At 41.7% G+C, this 25,407-nt stretch overlaps 1 protein-coding gene and 1 long non-coding RNA gene across 4 annotated transcripts in view, besides 4 other annotated features; one reads left to right on the forward strand and one right to left on the reverse strand.

Annotated features, from left to right (window-relative positions):
• The window catches only part of TTC7B (tetratricopeptide repeat domain 7B), a 291,867-nt gene that overhangs the window by 106,325 nt on the left and 160,135 nt on the right, over positions 1-25,407 (reverse strand). For all 3 annotated transcript variants that reach the window (NM_001320421.2, NM_001010854.2, NM_001401365.1), the window contains exons 12-15: positions 24,105-24,222; positions 21,953-22,010; positions 16,063-16,135; positions 13,160-13,320 (exon numbers count right to left, since the gene is read on the reverse strand). In NM_001320421.2, coding sequence (NP_001307350.1) covers positions 13,160-13,320; positions 16,063-16,135; positions 21,953-22,010; positions 24,105-24,222 — 410 coding nt within the window. The remainder of the gene's footprint in view (positions 1-13,159; positions 13,321-16,062; positions 16,136-21,952; positions 22,011-24,104; positions 24,223-25,407) is intronic.
• Positions 8,662-9,176: an enhancer, noted in NCBI's record as "H3K27ac-H3K4me1 hESC enhancer chr14:91105894-91106408 (GRCh37/hg19 assembly coordinates)". NCBI's record gives its function as "activates a minimal SCP1, AML or CMV promoter by ChIP-STARR-seq in primed H9 embryonic stem cells {active_cell/tissue: H9 hESC(primed)}" and the evidence as "EXISTENCE:reporter gene assay evidence [ECO:0000049][PMID:30033119]".
• Positions 10,985-11,589: an enhancer, noted in NCBI's record as "OCT4-NANOG-H3K27ac hESC enhancer chr14:91108217-91108821 (GRCh37/hg19 assembly coordinates)". NCBI's record gives its function as "activates a minimal SCP1, AML or CMV promoter by ChIP-STARR-seq in primed H9 embryonic stem cells {active_cell/tissue: H9 hESC(primed)}" and the evidence as "EXISTENCE:reporter gene assay evidence [ECO:0000049][PMID:30033119]".
• Positions 11,590-12,194: an enhancer, noted in NCBI's record as "OCT4-NANOG-H3K27ac hESC enhancer chr14:91108822-91109426 (GRCh37/hg19 assembly coordinates)". NCBI's record gives its function as "activates a minimal SCP1, AML or CMV promoter by ChIP-STARR-seq in primed H9 embryonic stem cells {active_cell/tissue: H9 hESC(primed)}" and the evidence as "EXISTENCE:reporter gene assay evidence [ECO:0000049][PMID:30033119]".
• On the forward strand, positions 11,741-18,003 carry TTC7B-AS1 (TTC7B antisense RNA 1). The gene is made up of 5 exons (NR_110134.1): positions 11,741-11,842; positions 13,856-14,110; positions 15,883-16,092; positions 16,366-16,523; positions 17,484-18,003. It is a non-coding gene; the product is annotated as a TTC7B antisense RNA 1 (long non-coding RNA).
• Positions 15,502-16,701: an enhancer, noted in NCBI's record as "CDK7 strongly-dependent group 2 enhancer chr14:91112734-91113933 (GRCh37/hg19 assembly coordinates)". NCBI's record gives its function as "activates an origin of replication core promoter dependent on BRD2, BRD4, P300/CBP, MED14 and CDK7 cofactors, with strong dependence on CDK7, by STARR-seq in HCT116 cells {active_cell/tissue: HCT116}" and the evidence as "EXISTENCE:reporter gene assay evidence [ECO:0000049][PMID:35650434]".

Consider the following 25,407-nt stretch of genomic DNA (forward strand, 5'->3'; position numbering starts at 1 on the left):
CAGTGGCATGATCTCGGCTCACTGCAAGCTCTGCCTCCTGGCTTCACGCCATTCTCCTGCCTCAGCCTCCCGAGTAGCTGGGATTACAGGCGCCTGCCACCACGCCCAGCTAATTTTTTGTATTTTTAGTAGAGACGGGGTTTCACTGTGTTAGCTAGGATGGTCTCGATCTCCTGACCTTGTGATCTGCCTGCCTTGGCCTCCCAAAGTGTTGGGATTACAGGCGTGAGCCACTGCACCCAGCCATGTCCTTCCTTCTTAAGGCTGAATAAAATATTCCATTATATGTGTAAACCTCATTTTGTTTAACCATTCATTCATTGATAGGCACTTGGCTTGTTCCCACCTTTTGGCTATTGAGAATTATGCTGCTGTGAACACGGGTGTATAGATCTGTTCAAGTCCCTGTTTTCAATTCTTTTGGGCAGACACCCAGAAGTGGGACTGCTGGATCACATGATAATTCTATTTTTAATGTTTTGAGGAACCACCATACTGTTTTCCATAGCGTCTGCACCAATTTTTTTTTTTTTTTTTTGAGACAGATTCTCGCTCTGTCACCCAGGCTGGAGTACAGTGGCATGGTCTCAACTCACTGAAACCTCCGCCTCCCAGGTTCAAGCGATTCTTCTGCCTTAGCCACCCGAGAAGCTGAGACTACAGGCACATGTTACCACACCCGGCTAATTTTTTATTTTTAGTAGAGACGGGGTTTCACTTTGTTGGCCAAGCTGGTCTCGAACTCCTGACTTTGTGATCTGCCCATCTCAGCCTCCCAAAGTGCTGGGATTACAGGCATGAGCCACCCTGCCCAGCCTGAGTCTGCACCATTTTATATTCCCACTAGCAATGCACAAGGGTTCCTATTTCTCTACATCCTTGTCAACACTTGTGACTTTGTTTTTTTGATAAAATCCATCCTACTGGGTATGAAGTGGTATCTCATTGTGGTTTTGATTTGCATTTCCCTAATGGTTAGTGATGTAGAGACTCTTTTCATGTGCTTATTGGCTATTTGTATATCTTCTTTGGAGAAACATCTATGCAACTCCTTTCCTTTGCCCATTTCCTAAAGGGGATGGGGTTTTGTTTCGTTTTGTTAGGGTTGTGGAAAGTTGATTTTAAATAAGCTACTGCACCACTAAGTCCCACTCCATTGTGACCCCTGTTGTCTTCCAGGCTGCCACCAACTCGCCTGTGTCCAAAGGCCTCCCTCCCTACTGGTATCCCTGGGGTGGTTACTGTGTGCTCACTCCTTCCAGACATCCTTCAGGTATCAGTGGATCATTTCTCTAGTTTAATGAGATGAACAGCCTCTTTCCTTGTGGTCTAACTTCTTATCAAATGCTAATTTAGTGGGCATGTTCATTGCTTCATCACTCAGCTCAGGCAAAAAATTTGCCCACAACCCCTGGTCAATTTAAATCACCAAAATTGTTTTAATCACTAAATCAAAACATTATTCAATATGATGTTTCAACTTAAACTGAACTTCTCTGAGAGTATGTGTGTGTGTGCCCGAGTGAAAAAGAAACATTAGTCTCACTTGCCAAGTAATGATTTAAAAAAAAATTATATGTATACTCCACTCAAGTAAAGAATGATTATAACTATGTTTCCTAGTTTTTTGATTCCAGGTTAACAGGGGAGATAGCATAAAACTCCTGCTCATCTGGGTTATAAGCTCTAATGGAGCAGAAACTGACTTGTTCACAGCAGTAATCCCCAACATCTAGCATGGCCCCTGGCATGTGGTAGAAACTCAATGCTTCAAAGTCAGTTCGTGGTTACGAGCACAGATGGCGAGGCCAGATTGCCTGGGTTGAAATCATGGCTCTGCCTTTTTCCAGGTGTATAATCTTGGACAAATTACTTAAATTCTCTGTGCCTCAGTTTCCTTATCTACAAAATGAAAATAATAACAAAACTACCCACCATAGATAGTTCTTGCAAGGATTAGTTAAAAATGTGTAAAGTGTTATTAAGAGTGCCTGTCACAATGCGGGGTATAAACATTAGTGGTTACTAATGCTGAAAGAATGACTGATTAAATGAATGAATGTTATATATGTTCACTTCTTCCCATACAGTTAGTTTCCACTGATGTAAAAAGAAATGTGACTGTCTGATAAAATCTGTGTTGACATGTATAAGAGCTGAGGCCACGGACAGAAGTGTTCTAGAAGACCTCTGTGCCTCCAATCAGGTGACTGAGGGTGTGTCTCAATATCATCTGATGTCTTATAGTTATGGGTCAGAGAAAACACTTCAAACACTTGTGCATACAGCATCATGATCACATACTTATATTAGTAATCTTGAGAGGTTTGCTTTGTGGTGACATCTGATGTTTTCTTAAGTGTGCTATTGATTTGATAACCTCTCTGGGAGCACATGAATAGGAGTGAGTATATGTTCTATTTAAATAGGAAACAATAAAAATTCAAATCAATTAAAAATCTATGGAAGAATTGCATAACCACAATTGTCTCAGGGCAAGAAAGTTAAATTCTGGCAGTGGCTTTCCTTAGCGGCCATTGTAAGGCTTGCTGAATGAGAATGCAACCTTTCAGTAACACTGAAGTTCTTAAATCCCACCATAAAAGTATGATACTATCTAATATATATTCCAAAGACAAAAAACAACAAACTGTCAGTTCTTAACCTGATATTTTTTTCTACAAATGAATTTCAACAGCAGAAACACAGTCTGAGGGCCTGATCAAAGCTCTCGACCAACAGTGCCTCATTGCCATTGGGAGAGACAATTATGTACTCCAAATATCACCTGTTACCTTCTACCTTTTTGGGCCAATGAGGAAAATTACTAAGTAAAATGTATTAATGAAGGGAAATTTCTACAAAGCTGTACTGCAAAAGATGAAAAATCAGGGCTCTTGTGGCAAATTTAATAGATAGTGAAACCACTGAATCCATCGGAATTCATGAACACCTTTCAGTATAAAAATGTGTACTTTGTTAATTTTTTTTTTTTTCGGGAGTGGGGACGGAGTCTTGCTCTGTGACCCAGGCTGGAGTGCAGTGGCGCGGTCTCAGCTCATTGCAACCTCCGCCTCCCAGGTTCAAGTGATTCTCCTGCTTCAGCTACTCCCGAGTAGCTGGGATTACAGGCATGCACCAACATGCCTGGATAATTTTTGTATTTTTAGCAGACAAGGGGTTTTGCCATGTTGTTCAGGCTGGTCTTAAACTCCTGACCTCAGGTGATCCACCTGCCTCGGCCTCCCAAAGTGCTGGGACTATAGGCATGAGCCACCGCGCCTGGCCCATTGTTAATTTTTCCCAAACTTACAGTGTGTCGAGATAATTATTACATAATCAGTTAACATTAACTTTTCATCCTTTTGTTTAGATATTTAATAGTTCAGGGGTTTAAAAAATAATTTTTCAACAAAAAGAAGGCAGATTAAGAGGAGCAACAAAACGACAAGACACATGAAAATGGCAGATGTGAATCCAGCCATAGCATTAATTATATTAAATGTGAATGGACCAAACACTTGAGACAGAAGGCAGAGGTTATCAGACTAAGTAAAAAAAAAAAGACCTATCTGCTATTTATTATATAAGAAGAGAGGGAGGCCGGGTGGGGTGGGTCAGGCCTGTAATCCCAGTATTGTGGGAGGCTGTGGCGGGTGAATCACCTGAGGTCAGGAGTTCAAGACCAGCCCGGCCAACATGGCAAAACCCCGTCTATACTAAAAATACAAAAATTAGCCAGGTGTGGTGACATGTGCCTGTAGTCCCACCTACTCGGGCGGTCGAGGCACAAGAATCGCTTGAACCCGAGAGGCAGAGGTTGCAGTGAGCTGAGATCATGCCACTGCACACCAGCCTGGGAGACAGAACAAGACTGTCTCAAAAAAACAAAACAAAACAAAAAAGAAGAGAAGTAATATATGAAGAAAGAATAGCTGGGAACTTCTTGGAAATGATAAATAATACAAACAATACCAATACAGTTTTAAACAGCCCAGTGAATACTGAACAGGATTCACCCCTAGATGTGTCATAGCAAAAGTGTACAATAGCAGTAACAACAGCAATTATAAGCAGCCAGAGAGAAAAGACAGAGGACGTTAAAATGAACTACAAGTAAACAAATAGTTGACTTCTTAACAACTACAAAAGGAGCAAGATCACTTGTGCTCCTTTTGTCATTGAGGAGTCAACTATTTGTGAGAAAATGTTTGAGCCTAGAATTGTACATCCAATTTGAAAAACTTCTTTGGACAGCAATGCCAAGTACACTTTTAGATACAGTCTAAGAAAGTCTGCCAGCAATAGACCCTCACTAAAATTTCTTGGGTAATCACTAAAGAAGAAGAGCTAAAAGAGAATGTTTCTTTTCCATATTAGCAGAGAAAAAATGTATCATAAAAATATAATCGATCTAAAAGAAAGCAGAAAAGGAGAGGATACGATATGGAACAAGAGGCAAGTCAAATAGAAAGCATAAATAGCATGGTAGACACAAATATAAATATGTCAGTATTTACAATAAATAGAAATGAACTAAATATTCCAGATACCATAAGCCTGGGTTTTAAAAAATTATCAGTATATATAGGCCGGGCGCAGTGGTTCACGCCTGTAATCCCAGCACTTTGGGAGGCCGAGGTGGGAGGATCATGAGATCAGGAGATCGAGACCATCCTGGCTAACACAGTGAAACCCCATCTCTACTAAAAATACAAAAAATTAGCCAGGTATGGTGGTGGACACCTGTAGTCCCAGCTACTTGGGAGGCTGAGGCAGGAGGATGGCGTGAACCCAGGAGGCAGAGCTTTCAGTGAGCCGAGATTGCGCCACTGCACTCCAGCCTGGGCGACAGAGTCAGACTCTGTCTCAAAAAAAAAAAAAAAAAATTATCTATATATAATAAGCAGAAGAGTACATCCAAAACGTATTTTAAAAATTCAAAAAGTGGCCGAGTGCGGTGGCTCACGTCTGTAATCCCAGCACTTTGGGAGGCCGAGGCAGGCAGATCTCTTGAGGTCAGGAGTTCGAGACCAGCCTGGCCAACATGGTGAAACCCCGTCTCTACTAAAAAATACAAAAATTAGCTGGGTGTGGTGGTGCGCACCTGTAATCCCAAGTACTCAGGAGGCTGAGGCAGGAGACTCACTTGAACCCAGGAGGCAGAGGTTGCAGTGAGCTGAGATTGTGCCTCTGCACTACAGCCTGGGCAACAGAGTGAGACTCCATCTCAAAAAAAAAAAAAAAGTTCAAAAAGAATGGAAAATGATAGTCCAAGTCTATATATGTGTATATGTATACATGTGTGTATACTCACACACATGCACACACATATATGTACAGATATATGGCTACACATATATATGTATGTGGCCATATGTATATCATACAAAATAGACTTTGAAGCAAAATGCCTTGTATCTTACAACATAATCATAAAAGGTTGAATGTACCATAATACACAGCAACTCTAAATTTATATGCAACTAATAGCACAGCTTTAAAATATAGAAAGGAAAAACTGCTATAACGATGTGGTAAAAAAAAAAAAAAAAAAAAGCCAATCCGCCATCCCAGTGGTAGATTTCAACATACCTCCTCTCAACAAATGATAAAGTAGAAAAAACCTCTATAAAAACAAAAAAGCTCTGATAGCATAATTAACAACTCAAACTAATAAAACATATAAAAATTTCCTCAACAAATGCAGAAAACATTCTTTTCAGGCACACATGGAATATTTACAAGAAGTAACCACTGGGCCACAAAATAAGTTCGACCAATTTCAAATGTATATATAGTCTTTAAACATAATTTAATGAAGTTAAAAGCTCATAACAAAAGATAAGTTGAAAAAACTCATATTTGACAATTGTAAAACACAGTTCAAAGACAACTAATGGATCAAAAAGAAAATAACAGAAATTTCAAAATATTTAGAATTATACAATAATAAAAATTTCAAATATTGAAACTTGTAGTTTACAGCTACAGCAGCATTTAGAGGAAAATTTTTAGTCTTAAATGCTTATGTCAGAAAATAAGGCAAAAAATGAATGAACACCCAACTAAGAGATTAAGAAAAAAAAAAAACCCAAAATACAACAAGACAGAACTTAGAGAAAACAGAAGATAGAAAATAATGAAAATGAGAACAGAAATTCATGAAAGAGAAAGTAAACCCACAAGTGAGTTGACAAAAAAGTTACTGGTTGTTTGAAAGGATCCATGTAACAGACAAGTATCTGGCAAGACTATTCAAGAAAAGAAATAAGGTGCATTAAACAATATTAGAATTGAAAAAAACTTAACCAACAAATGCCATATGAAAAATAAACATTATGAATTATCTTATGCCAATAAAATTTAAAATTTAGATGAAATGGACAAATCCTTACATATAATATAATTACAGCTTATACATTATACATAGCTTAATAAAAAAAAAGAAATAGAAGACCTGAATAGACTATAATTATTTTTAAAAAGCATCAGAAATCTTCCCACAGAGAAAAACCCCCCCCCAGCCCCACATGGTTTTACAGATGCATTCTACCAAAACTTAATATTCTCAGAACAAATAATTCCAAAACATGCAAAAAGAAAAAGTACTACTCCAACTCACTTTATGAGGCTGGGCTGACCTTGATGCCAAAATCTGGCAAGAACAGAAGGAGAAAGGAAAAGAATAGGCCTATTTTGCAAATGTACACAAACGCGAAGTTCTCTAAAAAATAAGTAAAGTGAATCCATAAAAAAGCTAATTTATCACAATCAAGTTGGGCTTATTCCAAGTATACAAGGTGAGTTTAACATTTAAAAATATAAATTAATATATAACATTCATAGATGAAAGGAATAAAGTCATATAATCATCTCAATAGATATAGAAAAGGCATTTGATAAAATCTGCTATCGTTTCATCATTAACAAAACAACTCTTAATAAACCAGGAAGAAGGAAACTTCTTTAATCTCTTAAATAGTACCTACAAACAAACCTGTAACAAGCACAATTCTTTTTTTCTGAGGCAGGGCCTCGCTCTGTTGCCCAGGCTGGAGTGTAGTGGTGCAGCCTTGACTTCCTGGGCTCAACTGATCCTCCCACGTCAGCCTTCTGAGTGGCTGGGACCACAGGTACACGCCATCACATCTGGCTACCCTTTTTTTTTTTTTATCTAGAGATGGGGTCTCACAATGTTGCCCAGGCTGGTCTTGAACTCCTGAGCTCAAGCGATCCTCCTGCCTTAGCCTCTCAAAGTGCTGGCATTACAGGCGTGGACCACTGCACCCAGCTAAATGTAATTCTTAATGGTAAAACATTGAAAGAATTTTCTCATTTAACTACTAGGTCCTAACTAGTACAGTAAGACAAGTTAAAAAAATGGAAAGATTAGAGAAAAAGAAACAATTTTAATCACCTCAGAAAAAAAGTCATTATGTATGTAGAAATTCCAAACTGAGTTATATATGTCATTAGACTTATTAAGAATTTAGCTGGGTCAAGAAGAATGTGCAAAAACCAGTTACCTTTCTATACCTTCGCAACAAGTACATAGTAAATTTGATTACAAAAATATTCTGTATACAATAGTGCATATAAAAGCATGAAAAATTTTTTCAGGTAACTAGAAATAAGTCTAGTAAAAAATGGGCAAAATATTTATTAAAAAATTATAAAAACATCCAAAAATACTTGTAAAGGCCTAAATAATTAGGGAGCTATAATGGCTATGGATTAGAAAACCTACTGTCATAAATATACAATTCTCCCCAAACTAAGCTATTAAATTAAACTAATTCCAAAATCTCCAGAAGTTTTCTGTGGAACTGGACGAGCTGATTTGAAAATTTATGTGAAAGTTCAAAGGCCCAAGACAAGCCATGGCAACCTAAAGAGCAGGATACAGAGAGGGACCCACCTTACATATAATGAAGCTATGACAGTGACAAGACAGTGGCAATCACATGGGACTGGCACGATGGCCAATGGAACAAAACAGGAAACTTAGAAACAACTGCGGACATTTGGTTGATGACAAAGGTGGAACTGTGGAGCAACAGGGCAAAGAATCTTTTCAGCGTTTGATGCTGGGACAATTGAATATCCTATGGGGAAAATCACATTGGCTGGCTCATACCATACACACATAAAACAGTCCATTCTAGGTGGGCCCTTAGGTTTCAGTGTGAAAGATAGCACAAGAGAGCTTTTAGAAGATGATTTAGGAGACTACCTTCATGATCTTGGAGAAGGGAAAGGTTTCTTCAACTAGACATAGAAAGTACTGTCCATAAAGGAAACGACTTCTACTTTCTATTACTTTAAAATTAAGAACTTCTGTTTATCAAAAGACATCATGAAGAGAAAGCAAAACAAAATCACAGCTTGGGAGAAGATTTCTGCAACACATATAACTAAGAAAAAGACTTGTAACCAAAATACATAAAGAAATATTATTAAGGAAAAGACCATCCAATAAAAAAGAAGGAATTTCACATACACTTCACAAAAGAGAAAAGGTGAATGACCAATAGACAAATAAAAAGATGTCCAAACTCATTAGTAATGAGGGATGCGCAACTTAAACTCACAAGGTGACATCATTAACCAGCAACCATTCTGCCAAAAATATGAAGTCGGGCAGCACCAAGTATTGGTGTATGGAACCACAGGGCTCTTGAGCGCTGCTGATGGGAGTGTAAACTAATACAACCCCTTTGAAAAACAGTTTGGAATTATTTGGTAAAGTTGAAGATACACAAATCCTACGACCTAACTATTTCACTCATAGAGAAATCCTTGAACGTGTGCACCAGGAGCCCTGTAAAGAAGATTTACAAGCACTGTTCATAATAGCTAAAACCTGAAAACAACCCACGTATCTATTCACAGTAGACTAAGTAAGGAAATCTTAGTGCATTTACACAATAAATACTATTCATTCATGCAAACCAAAGAGTCACTGCTGCGTGCAACAAGGAGGAGCCTCAGGAACGGGATGTTAAGCAATGAACGCAAGCAGCATAAGGACATATTCAGTCTGATTCCATTTTCTACCAAAAGTTTAAAACAGGCAAAACACAATTTTTATTATTTAGGAGTACACGCCGGGTGCGGTAGCTCAGGCCTGTAATCCCAGCACTTTGGGAGGCCGAGGCGCATGGATCGCTTGAGCTCAGGAGTTTGAGCCCAGCCTGGCCAACGTGGTGAAACCCCATCACTACAAAAAATACAAAAATGAGCTGGGTATGGTGGCACACGCCTGTGCTCCCAGCTACTCGGGAGGCTGAAGGATCCATTGAGCTGGGAGTTTGAGAATGCAGTGAGCTGTGACTGTACCACTGCACTCCAGCCTGGGTGACAGAGTGAGGCCCTGTCTCAAAACAAAAAAAAAAGAGAGAGAGAAAGAAAAAGCACAATATACATGGTATAGAAACATGAGAGAATGATTAACATAGAATTTAGAATGGTCATTAACCTGTCAGGTGACAGGCAAAAGGACAGGATACAGAGAAAAATCATTGGCAATATTACACGAAAAATCCATATACCTAGGAAATACATACACATGTTTAAGATACGTGTAAGTATATATGTATAAATAAATCTACACAGGAAATTCACAGGTAATATTAATGTTCTTTTTTCTAAACTACGAATAGGCAAACACATATGTTCATTGTATGATTTTAGATATATTTAATAAACATTCATTTGATTTTATTCCATATTTAAGAACAATTCTAAAGGATTCTAAAATACCATATTTGAACATACTTCAGTAGTATTGGTAGTAATAGTCATAGTAATATGAGTTTCTACCAATTATTACGTGATTACCAGGTACAATGCCTCAAATGCACCAGCTAAATCAATTCTGACCACAACTGTCTGAGATGGATATTTTATTATTCACATTTTGTAGATGAGGAAATGAGACTCAGAGAGATTTAGTGACTTGCTCAAGGTCACACAACTTAAAAGTGAAGGATCTGGAGTCCTAAACTCAACTTGTCCCATTGTAAGACTGCACTCTCAACCACTACAAAAAAAGCCTTCCTCGTTCCTTTCCTTCCATACTGGACTAACCCTATAACACTTCCAAAAATGCCTGCTTCTCCAGAGTAGTGAGCCTATTTTGGGGGTTCCCTGAAGAAAGAATTCCTGATTCTCACAAATCCCTACGGTTAGAAACATCTTCTCAATTGTTGATTCTACTGTTGTCTCAGCCCTGCTTGGAGTGACAAAGTGGCTGAGATGGTACCTCTCAGCTTAGAACTTTTTGGACCCTGTTAAGCTTATTCAAAGTACTTAAACAGCAAGTTTTATCATTTCATGGTGACAGGAATGTAACGCTGGAGGGACCAGCTGCTCCTCCAAGGGCCTTCAGCTGTCTCCTCTACTAACTGCCCAACAGGTGGACAGAGCTGACCCTCACGGAGGGAAGGTTTCACCTCCATCAAGGCCTGACTACCCATCAGCTATGTCCTCCACTCCCAGGCTTCAGGGAGTCTACAGTTCTGCTGCAGACAAGCTTGTCACAAACAAACAGATAATACTACATGGCAGTTGCAACAAGTGCCCACTTAATCTTGTTTCGGTTGGTGTTGAAATGTTTTAGCCAGGTTGGGAAGAAACCATGGGATCCACTGATTACATCTGGCCCCAACTTTTAATAAAGTATTCTTGGGAAGAAGTTTCCCATCGCAAAGAAATACAAATATTTAAAAAGCAAACAAGTCACGGACTGCTCTCAGACCTGCTGCCATATGCTTTGCTTTTTTGAGCTTACGGCTTAACATTAAAATAACAGCCTTGCATTCCTCAAATATCTCCACTGCTGTTCCTTACTTCCACTACTTGAAAAGGCTGTCAGCTGCTGTCACTTGGAGGCATTACCATATTAGCCACCACTGTTTACTGCTTACCATGTGGTATGGCTATTAGTTTAATAAGCCTCCTCTTGGATGACACCCTAGGCTATGGAAGAAGGAACCATACCCTGGAGTCCAATGCCTAATGAAAGAGCTTGTGTGTGTGTGCGTGTGTGTGTGTGTGTGTGTGTGTGTGTTGGAGGGTGAGACACGGAATGAAGCTTTATAAATATTGATGAGAGACACTGAATTCAATTGCATCAGGTTGTACTTTACCGATGGTTAAAGGATCGAATATTTTTTAAAGTGCTTTAACCATTTTAAGGTTCCATGGGATAAACAGCTTGGGGTAAAATCCAGAAATATAGTTGGTGTACAAAAGAGCAAGTTTGAGATCTGCAAGAAGTAAAACACTGCAGCAAAGCTCTTTAATTCACTCTGCATAAATAGCTGAGCCTACAAAAGAAATCTCTAGTCAGAGGTTTCCTGGATTATAACAAGAATTCTCTCGATGGGAAGAAGTGCCCTTTTCACTTGAAGACAAAGAAATGTTTGTAATGGAAATGTGTGAACCAATTTTCCAAGGAGAGCTGCTGAAAAGCACTGATTAAAAACACAGCGAGGTGATGAGGCAGTGAAATAAAGCCAGAGCTGACCCACTTAAAGTTTGTGGCTGCACTTCCTTCTGAAAGTGAAGAGAGCAACCCTGGGCCACCTTCTACATTCTTTCCCTTCTCCCCAACCCCAAGCAGTCCCTGCCCCATTACTGACCCTGCAACTCTGTAGACAATCAGAACCTTCCAGCGTGCAGGAATGTTTACTATTTCTGGCCATTGTGTACTGGTTACTAAGCTACTGCCACTGAGGATGAAATGGTAACCCAGTAGCCCAAAAGACAAAGTCCTTCTCAACAAAGCCTAACCAACAGGCAATGGATTATAGTGATTCAGAGGAAAGATAAGAAGGTAGGTAGATGATTCTAGCATATGACAGTTTACAGTGATAGTTCTTAGGTTACGTATAATATTGATTGTTTAAGAACTTCCATTTCCTAGAGAATAAAACTAAGACACAGAGAGGGAAGCTATCTTGATCAAAATTGCCTAAAATAGGAGAATCACCGAGAGCTAGTGGAAGCCCTCAGTAACTCAGGACAAACAAGCTATAAAGCCCTGTTTCCCAGATTTCACCCACTGGAGTTCAACATCACTTCTGCCATATCCAAGTATATCTGGCAGAAGTTACTTAATATTTACTTAATATTTTTCTTTAAATTGACTTGGAAAATTCTTAATAGCCCCCTGAGCAATAATTTTCATCAAATCACTACATTCTAATGTACATTTAAGAATGTGTAACTAGGCTGGGCACAGTGGCTCATGCCTGTAATCCCAGCACTTTGGGAGACCAAGGAGGGCAGATCGTGAGGTCAGGAGTTCAAGGCCAGCCTGACCAACATGGTGAAACCCCGTCTCTACTAAAAATACAAAAAATTAGCTGGGTGTGGTGGCAGGCGCCTGTAGTCCCAGCTACTAGGGAAGCTGAGACAGGAAAATCGCTTGAACCCGGGAAGTGGAGGTTGCAGTGAGCCGAGACCATGCCACTGCACTACAGACTGGGCAACAGAGTGATATTCCGTCTCAAAAAAAAAAAGGAATGTATAACTATTAAAAATGTTCATCCACAGTCCATCTAAAATTGTCTCATGTGCTCCAATGGTACACATTGGGAAAGAGTGGATAAAGTATTTTAAAAAAATAAGGATGACCTTATGTTAGGATGACCTAACAGCCTAAGTTTTTTGTTTGTTTGTTTGTTTGTTTGTTTTTTGAGACGGAATCTCGCTCTGTCGCCCAGGCTGGAATGCAGTGCAGGGGTACAATCTCCACTGACTGCAACCTCTGCCTCCCAGGTTCAAGCAATTCTCCTCCCTCAGCCTCCCGAGGAGCTGGGATTACAGGCGCCCGCCACCACACCCAGCTACATTTTATATTTTCAGTAGAAACAGGGCTTCACCATATTGTCCAGGCTGGTCTCAAACTCCTGACCTCAGGTGATCCACCCACCTCGGCCTCCCAAAGTGCTGGGATTATAGATGTGAGCCACGGCGCCCAGCCCTAAGTTTGTTTTTAATATCAGGAAAAAATAACAGTAAAGGGGATTTTATATTATTGACTGCCAGGGTGTCCATGAGGGACTTAGACAGATTGGAAAGAAGGCAGGGGAAGAAGTAAATTTAATAACTTCTGAGTAAGGGAAAACCAAAGCCCAGGATCACTTACATGAAATTTTCTGGGTATTCACTCAGGGCCATGTCGATGATGTTCAGAGCGTCATGGTAATGCTTCTGTGCTGACAGCAGGAGGGCAAGGAGGTGCAGGGAGTTGGCATCGTCACCTTGAAGCTGAAGAGCTTGGCGGACATACCCCAGAGCCTCTGGGATCTGGTTTAAAACAAAACCAAAAAAGGTTTTACATACACACATGCACACGCACACACACACACACACACACACGCGCGAAAGAAGCCATCTTTTCAATGTCTGCTTCTCTTCAAATATTGAGTTGTTTCACATTGTGCCTCATTCACATTTTAAGCCAAATCTTTATGGCAGCCCCAGGATATTAACCACAAACATGAAAGCAGAAGCCACCTTCAAAAGACATTCTGACTGATAGAGTGATACAGGAGACCCTGTTTCTCTACGTAGCTGCCAATACTGCTCCAAGTCTTTCCCTTCTCCCTGAGTAAACACTTTCTCATTCTTTCCACAAAACTGATCTACTTTTGATTATGCCCAAGATGATTTTGCTCTAAGTGGAGACACATACAAAGTGTCAGAGATTTTTAGTGGAATTAAACTGCCTTAGCTGAACTGTTCTCATTTTTTCAAGTATTACTGAAATTAAAGTGCTTAATAAGTTACAAAACCTTTAACAGAGCTTTCCGAGTGATCAGAGGCCTGTGATTCTTTTCAGGTTCCTTTGTCTTGGACCTCCACTAGACATCAAGGAAACATGCCAAAAAAGTAAACAACAAAGGCCCCCACACCTTTCCAAACTACAACCCAAAATAAGTTGATCTGAGAAACAAATTGCAATGCCGCATGCAAAGCAGATGTGTCCAAATTCATGTAGGACCAGACACATCCTGAACCTTTCAGTGCAACAGCTGTTCAAGACTTTCTTCAAAATCATCCAAGCACAAGGGTTGATAAAATACACACAAAATGGGTATGTGACACCCTGGATTCCATGCAGGTTTGGCAGTAACCAGGGAGAATTAGAACCCGAAGCTAGATTTCGAAATAGAGCTCTGGACTGAAGCATTCTTGCACAACCATCCCACAGATGGCTTCCGGTCTCGCTCCAACTCCAGTCCTCTGTGGGGCCTCTTCTCAGCTCTCCTGCTTTTTCCCAAACCCTCAGTAACCTCCCTCCTTAGTAGAAGGCTATGACTTCTCTTTCCCAAACCAATTACTTTTCCTCAATGAACTTCTTTTCTTGATGGATTTAGGTTATAACTGCTGGCTGTGGAGGCTTTCTGCTTTGGAACCATAGAATCACAGCTCTCACAGTTGGAAGAGAGACCATTCACCCCAATCCTTCAGTTACAGGGAGGAAGCTGAAGTCCCGGGAGGTGAAATGGCTTGGGAAAGGTCACCCAGCTATTGAGTGTCTGACAAGAGAGTGATTCCTGTCCATCCTCTCCTCCTGGTCAAACCCCCTCCCCTGGGGAAGCAGGGAAACACTCCCTCGGAGCTCTGGTGTTCTGACACTACATGCCCACAAAGGCTGCTGCCACACCCACAAGGCTCCATTTACTCATCCTTCCCCAGGTGACAACCTACTATGTGAATAGCACTCAACCTGGTATTGATGGGTGGGTCGAAAGGCAAAGCATAGGCATGATGTTGATTTGCAGGGATGACCAGAGCAACCAGGGACAAACTGATACAGGGATCAAAACGATGTCTTTAAGGGATAGCTGCCTTGAAGGAATTCAAAGCTGGTTCCTTCATTTAGCGAGTATTCCTGAGTGCTGAACACATGTCAGGTGGCATTCCAAGTGCCAGGGTAAAGCAATGACAATGATGGGCATGGGTTCCTGGAACCTACAGTCCAGTGAGAAAGACAGATACTGAACAAGAAAGCTGGGCAAAAGGAAGAAGTGCAGGCTGCTACAGGAGCAAGGCTTCATGGAGGAGGCGAGAGAAGCTGTCAGCGTAGGGGAGAGATCAGATGGTCAATCAATGCCCACACCTGCTGCAGAAGCCCAGCTGTGAGCCACAGTCAGGTGACAGGACCTTTACAGGGAGGTATCCTGGTTTCCTTAGTCCCTAGGTTGCCAATGGAAGCCACTTCTCAATGCCATTCCCAAGCAACCAGGAAGACAGGTGCATACCTCAGCCCAGGCCTGCCAGGGGAATGGCATGTCTGGAGAGCTGACCTTTGAATCACCCTCCCAGTCAGCACTCAGGAATGTGCTGGGGTTACCACCAGTGTCTTGCACCTGGTGGGTGGCCAGGCATGTGGCCAACATCCCCAGAACAGCTGGGAGGGGATAGGAGGGTTTCGGGAATGGCAGAGGCAGCATCTAAAAGCTGCCTTTGGGAAGATGAAGGCCGACAAAACTTGCCCCTCCCGCAAGGAGATAGTGTTAAGTCCCCTTTTTCGAGTAGCCACGGTGTGTAACTGTTCATGTTTTCCACGTATTGTAAAGGACCTGGTTCTTTTGTCTCTGCCTGCTGGCATCTTCCTGCCAATCAATGACACCCTTATGACAACCAGACGCCAATCAGGGCTAAATCCCCACCATGCAGCTCAGCACTGGGTTCTGCTACCTGGTTCCTGTTGGCAAGGGACAGAGGCTCTTTGATGACTCCTGGGTTCAGGGTATATGCCATGTGCTGCTCCCCAGGTTGCCATCTGACCCTAGCTTGGGCCCTCCAGCTGTGTGGATTTAATGTCCAATAGCAGAGCCTGGAACTCCTGTGTCTTCACAGCTGATGCTCAAACCAACCAAAACACCAGGCTCTTTGCTGAAACCTCTGAGAAGGGTTCCTGGCTCCAGGTCAGCCTCAATGGAATAAAGGAAGATCACCTACCACTTCAAACTGAAGAGCTGAAGGAGTTGTATCAAGATACAGAGTGCAGCAAGTATAGGAAACATTAGAGAAACTGACCTGTCTGGAGATGGCAAGCTGCAGAGCCAGGTAGAAAGCTGCTTGGTGATCTGTGGGTGACAGGCTGTGGGCCCTGAAAAAGTATTTACGGCTATTAGTACATGGGAGAGGAGGCCATTTTTACTTTCCCTATCAAGCAAGTCTTCTCCACATTTGCATTCTTATACTAAGGGCCCGTATTTATTTAACTATGTAATGCTTCATTTAAACTCTTCTTCTTTGTCCACCTACACATGTAAACCATTTCCCTCTTACCACTGTATAAAGGTACAGAATAGGAGTGCATTTCTGTGTTTTGTCTAGCATCTAAAATGGCAGCTGAAGCTTGTCGGCTTTGCGGAGGGCCTCGAGGTGAAGAATCCATAGGCCCTGAGGTCTGATCTCCCCAGCAGATGGGTCTCTGTGTCGTGCTGGGACGCAGTGAAGCCATGTGTGCACTTGGCAAGGCGATGGCTGCTTTGGTTAAGTTTGGCTTGGCCTTCCTTAATGCTACTTTATCCAAATTTCTAGATTTCAGAGAAACCATATGAAAATCAAAGACCCAGCTTTGCTTATAAAATGAGGTTTGGGTTTTTGGTGAAAAAAGGGAAGAGAAAGGCACTCATTCAGTCTTTTGAAGCTTCTACAAAATTCCATGCCGTTCACTGATTTATTGCAGATAACTGTCGTGTAAGAGTGTGGTGAGACACTAGGCTCAGTTTTAAGAACTGGCCTTTGACGTCAGACAGGAAGGGACCATACTGGCCTCCTAGCTGATTGCAAACGTGGTCTTCTCTGCTTCTATGTGGAAGTCATTTGTATTTCAGCATAAGCAACTCAAAATTTGACTACATACTAGACATAATTCTGTGTTTAACTGCTGGGAAGAGAAAAACAAACTTCTACTTTCTTTAAAAGGCACCATGGAGCAGACTAATTAGGTGGGACCCAGATAGTAAACAAAACTTCATGCTGTTCTGTCAACATTCTGTGATTAAAGGAGGATCTTCTACCAGCAGAAAACAAATTCGAGATAAAAAAGAAAACCAAATCATTATGGATTCAACTGTGGCAAACAGGCCAAAGATGGCTTTCTACAATAATAAGGCCTTTTAATTGGACTGTCTGCTGCAGGGAAGGGAGCTAACAAACCTCCCAGGTGTTTGCCATCCAGAAAATATGCTAAATTCACTAATTTAGGTCATTGTTTATGCAAATGTAATAGCTCATATGCAGGTCCAGGGTGAGGCAAAGCTAATCTCTGTCCTTATATTAATCTTAGGAGCAAAGCACATAGACTTCCATTCCAGGGGACTCTTCACTTGGCCTCAAGACATAGCCTCAGGACTTTTCTTAGCTTAGTTGAAGAGGCTGAAGCTGATATTGCCTGTGTTACCCTTTTACATGTCTTATTTCTCTTTTTTTTTCTTTTTCTTTTTCAGACAGGGTCTTACTCTATCACCCAGGCTGGAGTGCAGTGGCATGATCACTGCTCATTGCAGCCTCAACCTCCCAGGGCCCAAGCGATCCTCCCATCTTAGCCTCCCAAGGTGCTGGGACCACAGGCGTGCTCCCCACGCCCAGCTAATTTATAGAATTTTTTGTAGACCCGGGGTTTCAACATGCTATCCAGGCTAGTCTGGAACTACTAGGCTCAAGTGATCCTCCCACTTTGGCATCCCAAAACCCTGGGATTACAGGCATAAGCCACCACGCCCAGCTACTAAATGGCTTATTTCTAAGGTCCACTCAGTATATAGCAGCTTTTATAATTTTACAAATATTGGCTTTCCATGAATTTGTACATCAAAGAATATTTTTCTTTGGTGTTTATAAAAGTGAGATTGAAAAATCATGGTTTCTCTCATAATTATTCAGGAAAAATAATACACAATTATGAAGAAATTTTTAGATTTATTTTATCTTCTTTCACAAATAATAAATTTACAGAACCCTCAAAAAGAACTTCTTAGAATTATAATTTTCTCAGTTCAATTCATATTCTTCACGAATAAATCAAGTCATGGTTGCCTCTATGCAATACCAACCAACTGAAAAGCTGGCAATGATCTGTTGAGTTGAGGGTGTACATAAAGATAGTTCTGGCTAAAGGCCCCATGCTGGCCTCATCAAATGATTTTTCTCTGTTAACCACAGCACCGTGAAAGGAACAAACCAGAAGTGCTAGAAATCTTGGTATTTCTGGAGTGCATTAGGGCAACATCTGAAGGATTTCCAACTTGGCTAATGATGCATATTCAACTGCCAAATTTCTAATGAGGCACAACTGAAACATATACATTTTAAAAACCTTATTTCTACAACTTGGCTAATGAATTCAACTGACCACTTCACCCTCTGAAGGAAATAAGGCAAATGCCAAACAAAACAAGAAAAAGCTCCCTGTGTTGATCTCAAGTAGATGCTAAAATACTTGCTTCCCGTGGAGCAACTTCAGCAGCTAAGCTTCCTGTGGGAAAGCCCCTTTGGTATGCCACAGGCAACTCGCCGGACAGAAATCCTCAGGCCAGGCAGATGAGAGAGAGGACATTAGTGATCAGAAAAATTGCAAGCCTTCTGAACTCTGTAAATGAATCTAAAGCAGCCTCATAAACTCCGTGCCCATAAACTGAACACCTGGCTAGACTGCTCAGAAATACCTAAAAGACCTAAAAATGTCACCACAAGGATGCTCACAAAATGCTTCCCTTATCAAAGCACCTCCACATAATTAATTCAGTTTCTCTCCCATGAAGAAGAACCCACTCATCCTTTTATCCACTTACCCACCCATCCACCCAGCCAACCACCCACCCATCCACCTATCCATCCATCCACCATCCAACCATCCACCTACCCATCCATCCACCATCCACCCATCCACATTATGCAATATCTATAATGTGATGCCAGGCCCTATGCTAACTTCTGGGGAGCATGGAGATGAATCATGCTAGTGCCTTTCCTTGATGAGCTCCCACCCCCGCCCCAGAGGGAGAGACCCAGAATGACCATCATCATCGTGCAGTGGGAGCAGTGCCCAGAGATAGGCATGCTGGGCTGCTACTGGAAAGCATCGGATGGGCTTCCCAGATCACCTGGCTAGAACCCAAGGATGTTGTGGCATCTAACCCAGGGCTCTCTTAGATTCCATTTCCAACATTCTCTAGAGCTGAACCAAGAATATAGAGAAGGCTGATCAATGCTGACCCTAGTCCATAAGACACATATCTTGTAACAATAGTAACTACAATTTGTGAAGTTATCGACTATTACGCTTCTTGTCCAAGAACAGCCAGCAAATGAGAGAAAGCCAGAACCTTGCTGCCTTGTTTAGCCAATTCTCCTTGAATTTCCCTTCAGTCCTGATTACAGGGGCCATGGGATTCGTGCATTAAGTTTTTTAAAAAGTGCAAACCCTGGTTAAATCTATTGCTCAGGAATCTCTCGTTAGTTACTCACACAGGGTGACCAACTTGTCCTGGTTTGTCCAGGATGTTCCTGATTTTAGCACTGCAAGTCCCATGTTCTGGGAAAACGCTCAGTCCTCAAGAGATTGGGATGGCTGATCACCCTATATGCACACATCATACCACACTTAAACTCAAGCTAGGACAGAAAGGGGAAAGCAAAGCAAGATCGTGTACCCTGTGCCACAATGAGTGATAAACAAACACCACCATGCCACCCCTGCCTCCTGGAGCACCAGGCTTTATGCATACTGTGGGCCATGCAATGAAAGGTGCTCTCAACTGTTTTCAGGATGGCTTTTCTCAGTAGGATGTGAGAGCCTGCAGAAGAAGCAAGTCATATCAATTCAGCATCTTCAGAAGCTTTGCAAACAATATTATGTTCTTCTTCACTATACTTTAGTACAGGGCAAATGAATTGGTTCAGCTGCCTGGGTTGAGCTTATGAGTGTAGGAACAGGTGAGGGTCTCACATTCAGATGCAGCCACCCAACCTGGATGTCTTCAAAAATCACCTCTTTGGATCCACTAGAGAACAAATATGTCTGAATTCTGGCAGTCATAATTAAGAGTTAACTTTCTTGTGCTATATCTGCAACCCCATCCCTTCCTGAATTGTGTTTTCTTTTTAAACAAAAAATGCAAAACATTAGTATAAACAGAATTGTGGGGAGAATATTTAAAACAAATAGTAGAGAAAGTACTTCTCATCAAAGTAGTTTTAAATTATCCATTTACATTTAAGAAGTAATACAAATCATTTTCACTTACTTAAAATCTTTCCCTTAAAGATTTTTGTTAGGACTGCAATTCACTAGAATAGTCCTAGTTAATGTGTACTTGAAATAAAATGAAAAACATTCTATATTTCACACAAATTCTAATTTAGGTTAGCCTTCTGCAATATCATCAGTTAGGTTAGCGGGATTTTATTACTCTTTATTCCCATATGAACTAATATTTTAAAAATCTCTTCGAATTTAAACTTAAGCAAAAGATGAACAAAAAAGAATTCAGGCCAATGGAGCAGCTGTTATATAACATGAAGTTATACTGGCAGCTCAAGGCAGACCACCACTGTGGCTGTTTTTAGAGAGCCAGTAAGATGTGCTGATTTAAGAAAAGTGAAACAGATGTAATGACCACTTTCTTAAGCATCCATGTGTGGGTTTTACAAACTAGGACTGGAGAATTTAAAACTCCAAATCATTTGAAATGGAAATGCTTTCCACACTCCGTGCTGAGGAACATCAACAAAAGCTTAGCACAGAGACAGGAGATCTGTTTGCAGATGTCAGTTGGTACTTTTTGTCAATACCCAGACTGGGGCTGGCAACCTGAAGTAGCTACCGGCAAGCCTGCTAGGAAACAGAAATGAGACGGAAGAGTTTCAGACTCACTGAAACCACTGATCATGATTTCATGAAAAAAGGCATACGGACACCATGATAAATCAGTAGGCAGCCCCAGTTCTAAGGAAAGAGTCTAACGAAGCTTGTCAGGTATTGGGAAGGCCTCATGAAATATTCGTAACTAAGTTTCTAATACAGTTCCAAGAAATCAGTGTAACTCAGATATATTTAAAGTGACAGGATCAATACCCATGCTGGATTTCACATCATGGGGCTATGCTTCCAGATGATTTCATTTTTGTGATTATACCTGTAACAAGAATAAAATGAGGGCAGTGTAGTATGGTGGGGCAGGAGAAACTGTGTTAGAGCCAGGAGACCCTGACTGCATACTGACTTCAACAGCTGCGGGACCGGCAGCTCCTGTAACTCCTGCGCCTCAGTCCCTGACCTGCAAGGGACATACTGCCTGTCCGTCTTCCTCACTTGTGTGTGGTAAGCAACAAATTAAATAAGGGATGTGAAGGCACGCTGTGACACTCGAGCATTTTATAATTGCAAGGCCTTCTCCTAATTTCCTGAGAGGCACAATGACAGAGAGAAGCACAAGGTGTTATGGAACAAGGTGGGGGCGGGGAGTTTGGGGCTGACTGTCTTCACTCAGTATTTCGGAGACTTCCTGAAATCGGCCTTCTCATTCCTTTATACAAAAACCTGCAGTTTGACATGTTTTTTTTAAAAAAAAAAAAAAGCTAGAAAAGAATAATCTCTTCTCTAGATGATGACAAATGTCTTTAATAAAGGACTCATCTCCCTTGGCATACAAAATACCTATCTTTTTTGAGCTGAAATCACTTTATTAGGAATGAATAAAATGTGCCCAAATGGATAAACAGATTAAGAGTGCAGATTGACACAGCAACAAGTGATACAGCAGGGTTTGTGTGCTGTGTGTTCGGTGCTCAGGACGAAAGACTCTCAGGGGTAAAACACTGTTTACATAATCTTTATAAATATCTCTTCTTTTTATACTCATCATACTTTGGTGTCATTATGTACAGCCGAGTGAAAAGATGAACTCCCACTCACCTCTGAAATGCAAGAAGCGCCTTTCTCTGTAGGACCTCCTGCATCCCTCGCAAAGAAGCTAAGAAAAGGGTTCAATTAGTCAGTGGCATGGGGGATCAGGGAATTTTGACAAATACAAAACCCATCACAAAACCTGTACATTCAACTGGATTAAAAGCAACAATGTCTGAGTGCCTACGTGCCCAGTCCTGCACCAGGCCCTGGAGAAGATAGGAAACAGAGCCCAGTCCTACCCCCAAGGTGCCTGCACTCATTAGGTGTGACTGTGGAACAATGCCAAGGGGACAGTGTGAGTTGGGTGGTCACTCTTGGTACTCCCAGGCATATGGGGGCCATTTGCAAAAGACCAGTTGGGAACTCCAGAAGGAGCACGACTGCCCTCTCAAGTGTAGGCATGTAACTCAGGGGAACGACAAGCTCTATGAAGATGGGGTGGGAGGGTTGCAAGCACCGGCAGTGTTGATTTTGACAGCCTTGCCTTCAGAGTTCCTTCTGCCACTGAGAAGCTGCAGTCCTGGGCCACCGACAGTAGCTTGCTGCCTTGAAAGGCCAGCTTGGTTCACACTGGGCAATGGCCAGGACCTTTAACACCTTCATGTGAACACAAGGAATGGAGTAGGCAAACCTAACACTGATCATGGAAAATGAGCTCAAAAGCATGAGGCCACCTCGCTGTGAATCAACACTTCCCCTGTGCAGAGCATGTGAGAAATGGCCCCTTAAACCTGGCTAGGAATGAAAAAGGTACTTTTTACTAGGGCAAGAGAAAAAGTCCTGGAGGAAACTGTTTATGGCTGGAACTGCAAGAGGCCATTACCTAACGCCTCCAACATGGCACCTCCCAGCCTGGCATGAGACTGAGAGCAGTGAAAGGCTGCCAGGGGGTCAATGTGGCTGGAGACCATGGCTAACTTAGAACAGCAGTGACACAGCTAGAGAGAACCTCAGAAAGGACCCAACTGACCCAAGAATGGAAAAGGAAGCCCCATAGGGTCAAGCAACTCTCCCAAAGTTGCAGGAGTAATGAGGGGTAGAGTCTGAAGAATTTACATGGGTTAATATGTGGCATTAAATTTGCCCCTCACTCAAAGTCTACTATGTCAAAAGCTATGTGCTGGGTATTGCCAATGTACCATGTGTATATGGAAAATTAGCAAGTAATCCATATTGAAAAGTAATTAATATGCACAACTTTCCCAGGACCTTTGATATTTTAGGGCAGAGGAAAGAATTTGGAGTAATTTGTAAAATAAATTACAACAAAACCATAAAGAAAAAATGAAGTATTACAAAAGCCAGGATAGTATTTCCTCGTAAGGGAGAGAAGGGAGTTTGTGATTGGGAGGGGCACACGGAGGGCTCCCCAGGGGGCTGGCAAGGTTCTAGCTCCTCAGCAGGGTAATGACTACAGGATATTTTGCCTTATACTAATTAAAATTCATTAAATTAACCATGTGTTTCTGGGATTTTTGTTTTGCATTTGTGTTATATTTAACAACAACATGATAAAAGAATAGTAACAGTTCAGGAAAAGTTTGTTAAATTTTCTGCAAATATCACTGAAAACTTAAGTATACAAGATTTTTTCTTAGCTAGAATCCCATCCATCAGAACTCTAAGCACATCCAAAAATCACTGCGCCCAAGACCCCTAGGTGTCTTGTGAGCTGCTGCACTGCACATGTACATATCTACAAATTAAAATGTGCAAATGGAGAAGGGGCATTTCCTGACCAGTCAAGGGAAGCTTCCTGGAAGTGTCTGGCCCTGACTCTTCCACATTCCTGTACCTAAGATCCAGCATCCCTTCACACAGGACAGCCCAGACCAAGTGGTGGGACAGGGGCAGGTGCAAGGCTAGGTGGATGAATCATCCCTCAAAGCGCAGTGAGGTGCCCAGTGTGCCACCAGCATAATGTACCTAAAAATGAGGCCTGGGAGCCCTGGCACAGGGCCTTCCTCCCTGCCCTCCCATTCTCCCATCAGACCAAGCAAAGAGGACAGCAGCACCAGGGGCCCCACCGGATGGCACACCAGAATGCCCCAGCTTCTGCACCCTCCTGAGACAGAAGGGGACTGTGGGAATCCCGCAGGGTAGACTTAGGTAGTCCAGCCCTGCAGCTCAGCAGCTGTGGGGGTGGGACGTCTCTCACCGTCAGTGGCCTGCAGACTGTACGTGAGCCCCAGAGCTAAGTAGCCTTTGGCCTTGAACTCTGACGTTTTCTCTCCCACATCAACGACAGTTTTGGCAAACTTTTCAGCCTCTTCCAACTGAAAAATGAGACAAGTTAAAAACAACAACAACCTGCAGAATTTCTAACATGAGTTCCCATAAGCGTCTGCTGCCAAAATTGGATTTCTGATGAGTCACTTTGAAAATGACTCTCAAATCTCCCAATCCCACTCTGGTGATTCTGTTTTCTTTCTTGAGCTCTCTAACAGTTCGCAGGATTCCTACCTTGCTTTTTCTCCTTAAAGTTTTTCTTACTGCTTATTTGCCTTCTTTTCCAAAGTTGCTTTCATATTTGGTGGGGGTCTATCTTTTTCATCTTTATTTTTTACTGACTGGTTCTATAATGAAGTTGTGCTAGGTATGCAGAAGTTGAACTGAATATATTTGTAAAGAATCAAGTTCTTGAAATGTTTTATGTTTGAGCCTTTCTTTCCCCCCCTACCCAGGATATAAAGAATCCATTTAGGCTTGGATTCTCTTTGCCATGAGCTGTTATAAATTTCAAAACTCCATCCACTTATTTTACAAACCACAACACATGTACCTTGTGCCAGCAGATTCCAATGAGAAAATGTGCACCTGTAAACTACACCCACAATAAGACCTGGTGCACAATTCATTAGAGGCAAAAAGAGTAAGATTTGTTCCATTGAAGTATGGCAAATGTTGATGATATTGAAGTTGGGTGATAAGACACTGGAGTTCATATACTCTTGAGTTTTGTGGTATTTGGAAATTTTAATAATAAAAATGCAAGAAAAAATATACAGAAAAGATTTGTTACTCTTATTTTTTTTAAAAAAAAGAGGTCTATTTAAGGCATTTCAAGATGTATATGTTACAGTAATAAATAAAGCCAGAGCTGGGAGGAGGGCAGTAGTCACTGCTGGGAACTGGCACGTTCCAAATGCAAAGGTTGTGTCCACTCCTCCGCCTGCCCACTCCTGGAACCGCCTGCACCATCCCCTTGCCTGCTCACAGCCCCAAACTGTCAAAACCCACGTGACCAAACTACACTTTCACAGCTGTGTGTTTCAGGTGAGAGCCTGTGCTTTCAAAACATCTTTTCTACATTTTCCCAAGCAAAATGGAACTAAAGTGGAACACTCTTCACTAGGCTTACTTTTCTCCTGCTGGGTGAGAATACATGGAAAAACCAAAGAGCAAGGATATAAGGGTGAACAACCTGAGTTTGTAAGATGCTTCGGTCTTTTTTGAGCAAA

This window comes from Homo sapiens, chromosome 14 (genome assembly GCF_000001405.40).
Source record: "Homo sapiens chromosome 14, GRCh38.p14 Primary Assembly".
In the NCBI taxonomy this organism is placed as follows: domain Eukaryota; kingdom Metazoa; phylum Chordata; class Mammalia; order Primates; family Hominidae; genus Homo; species Homo sapiens.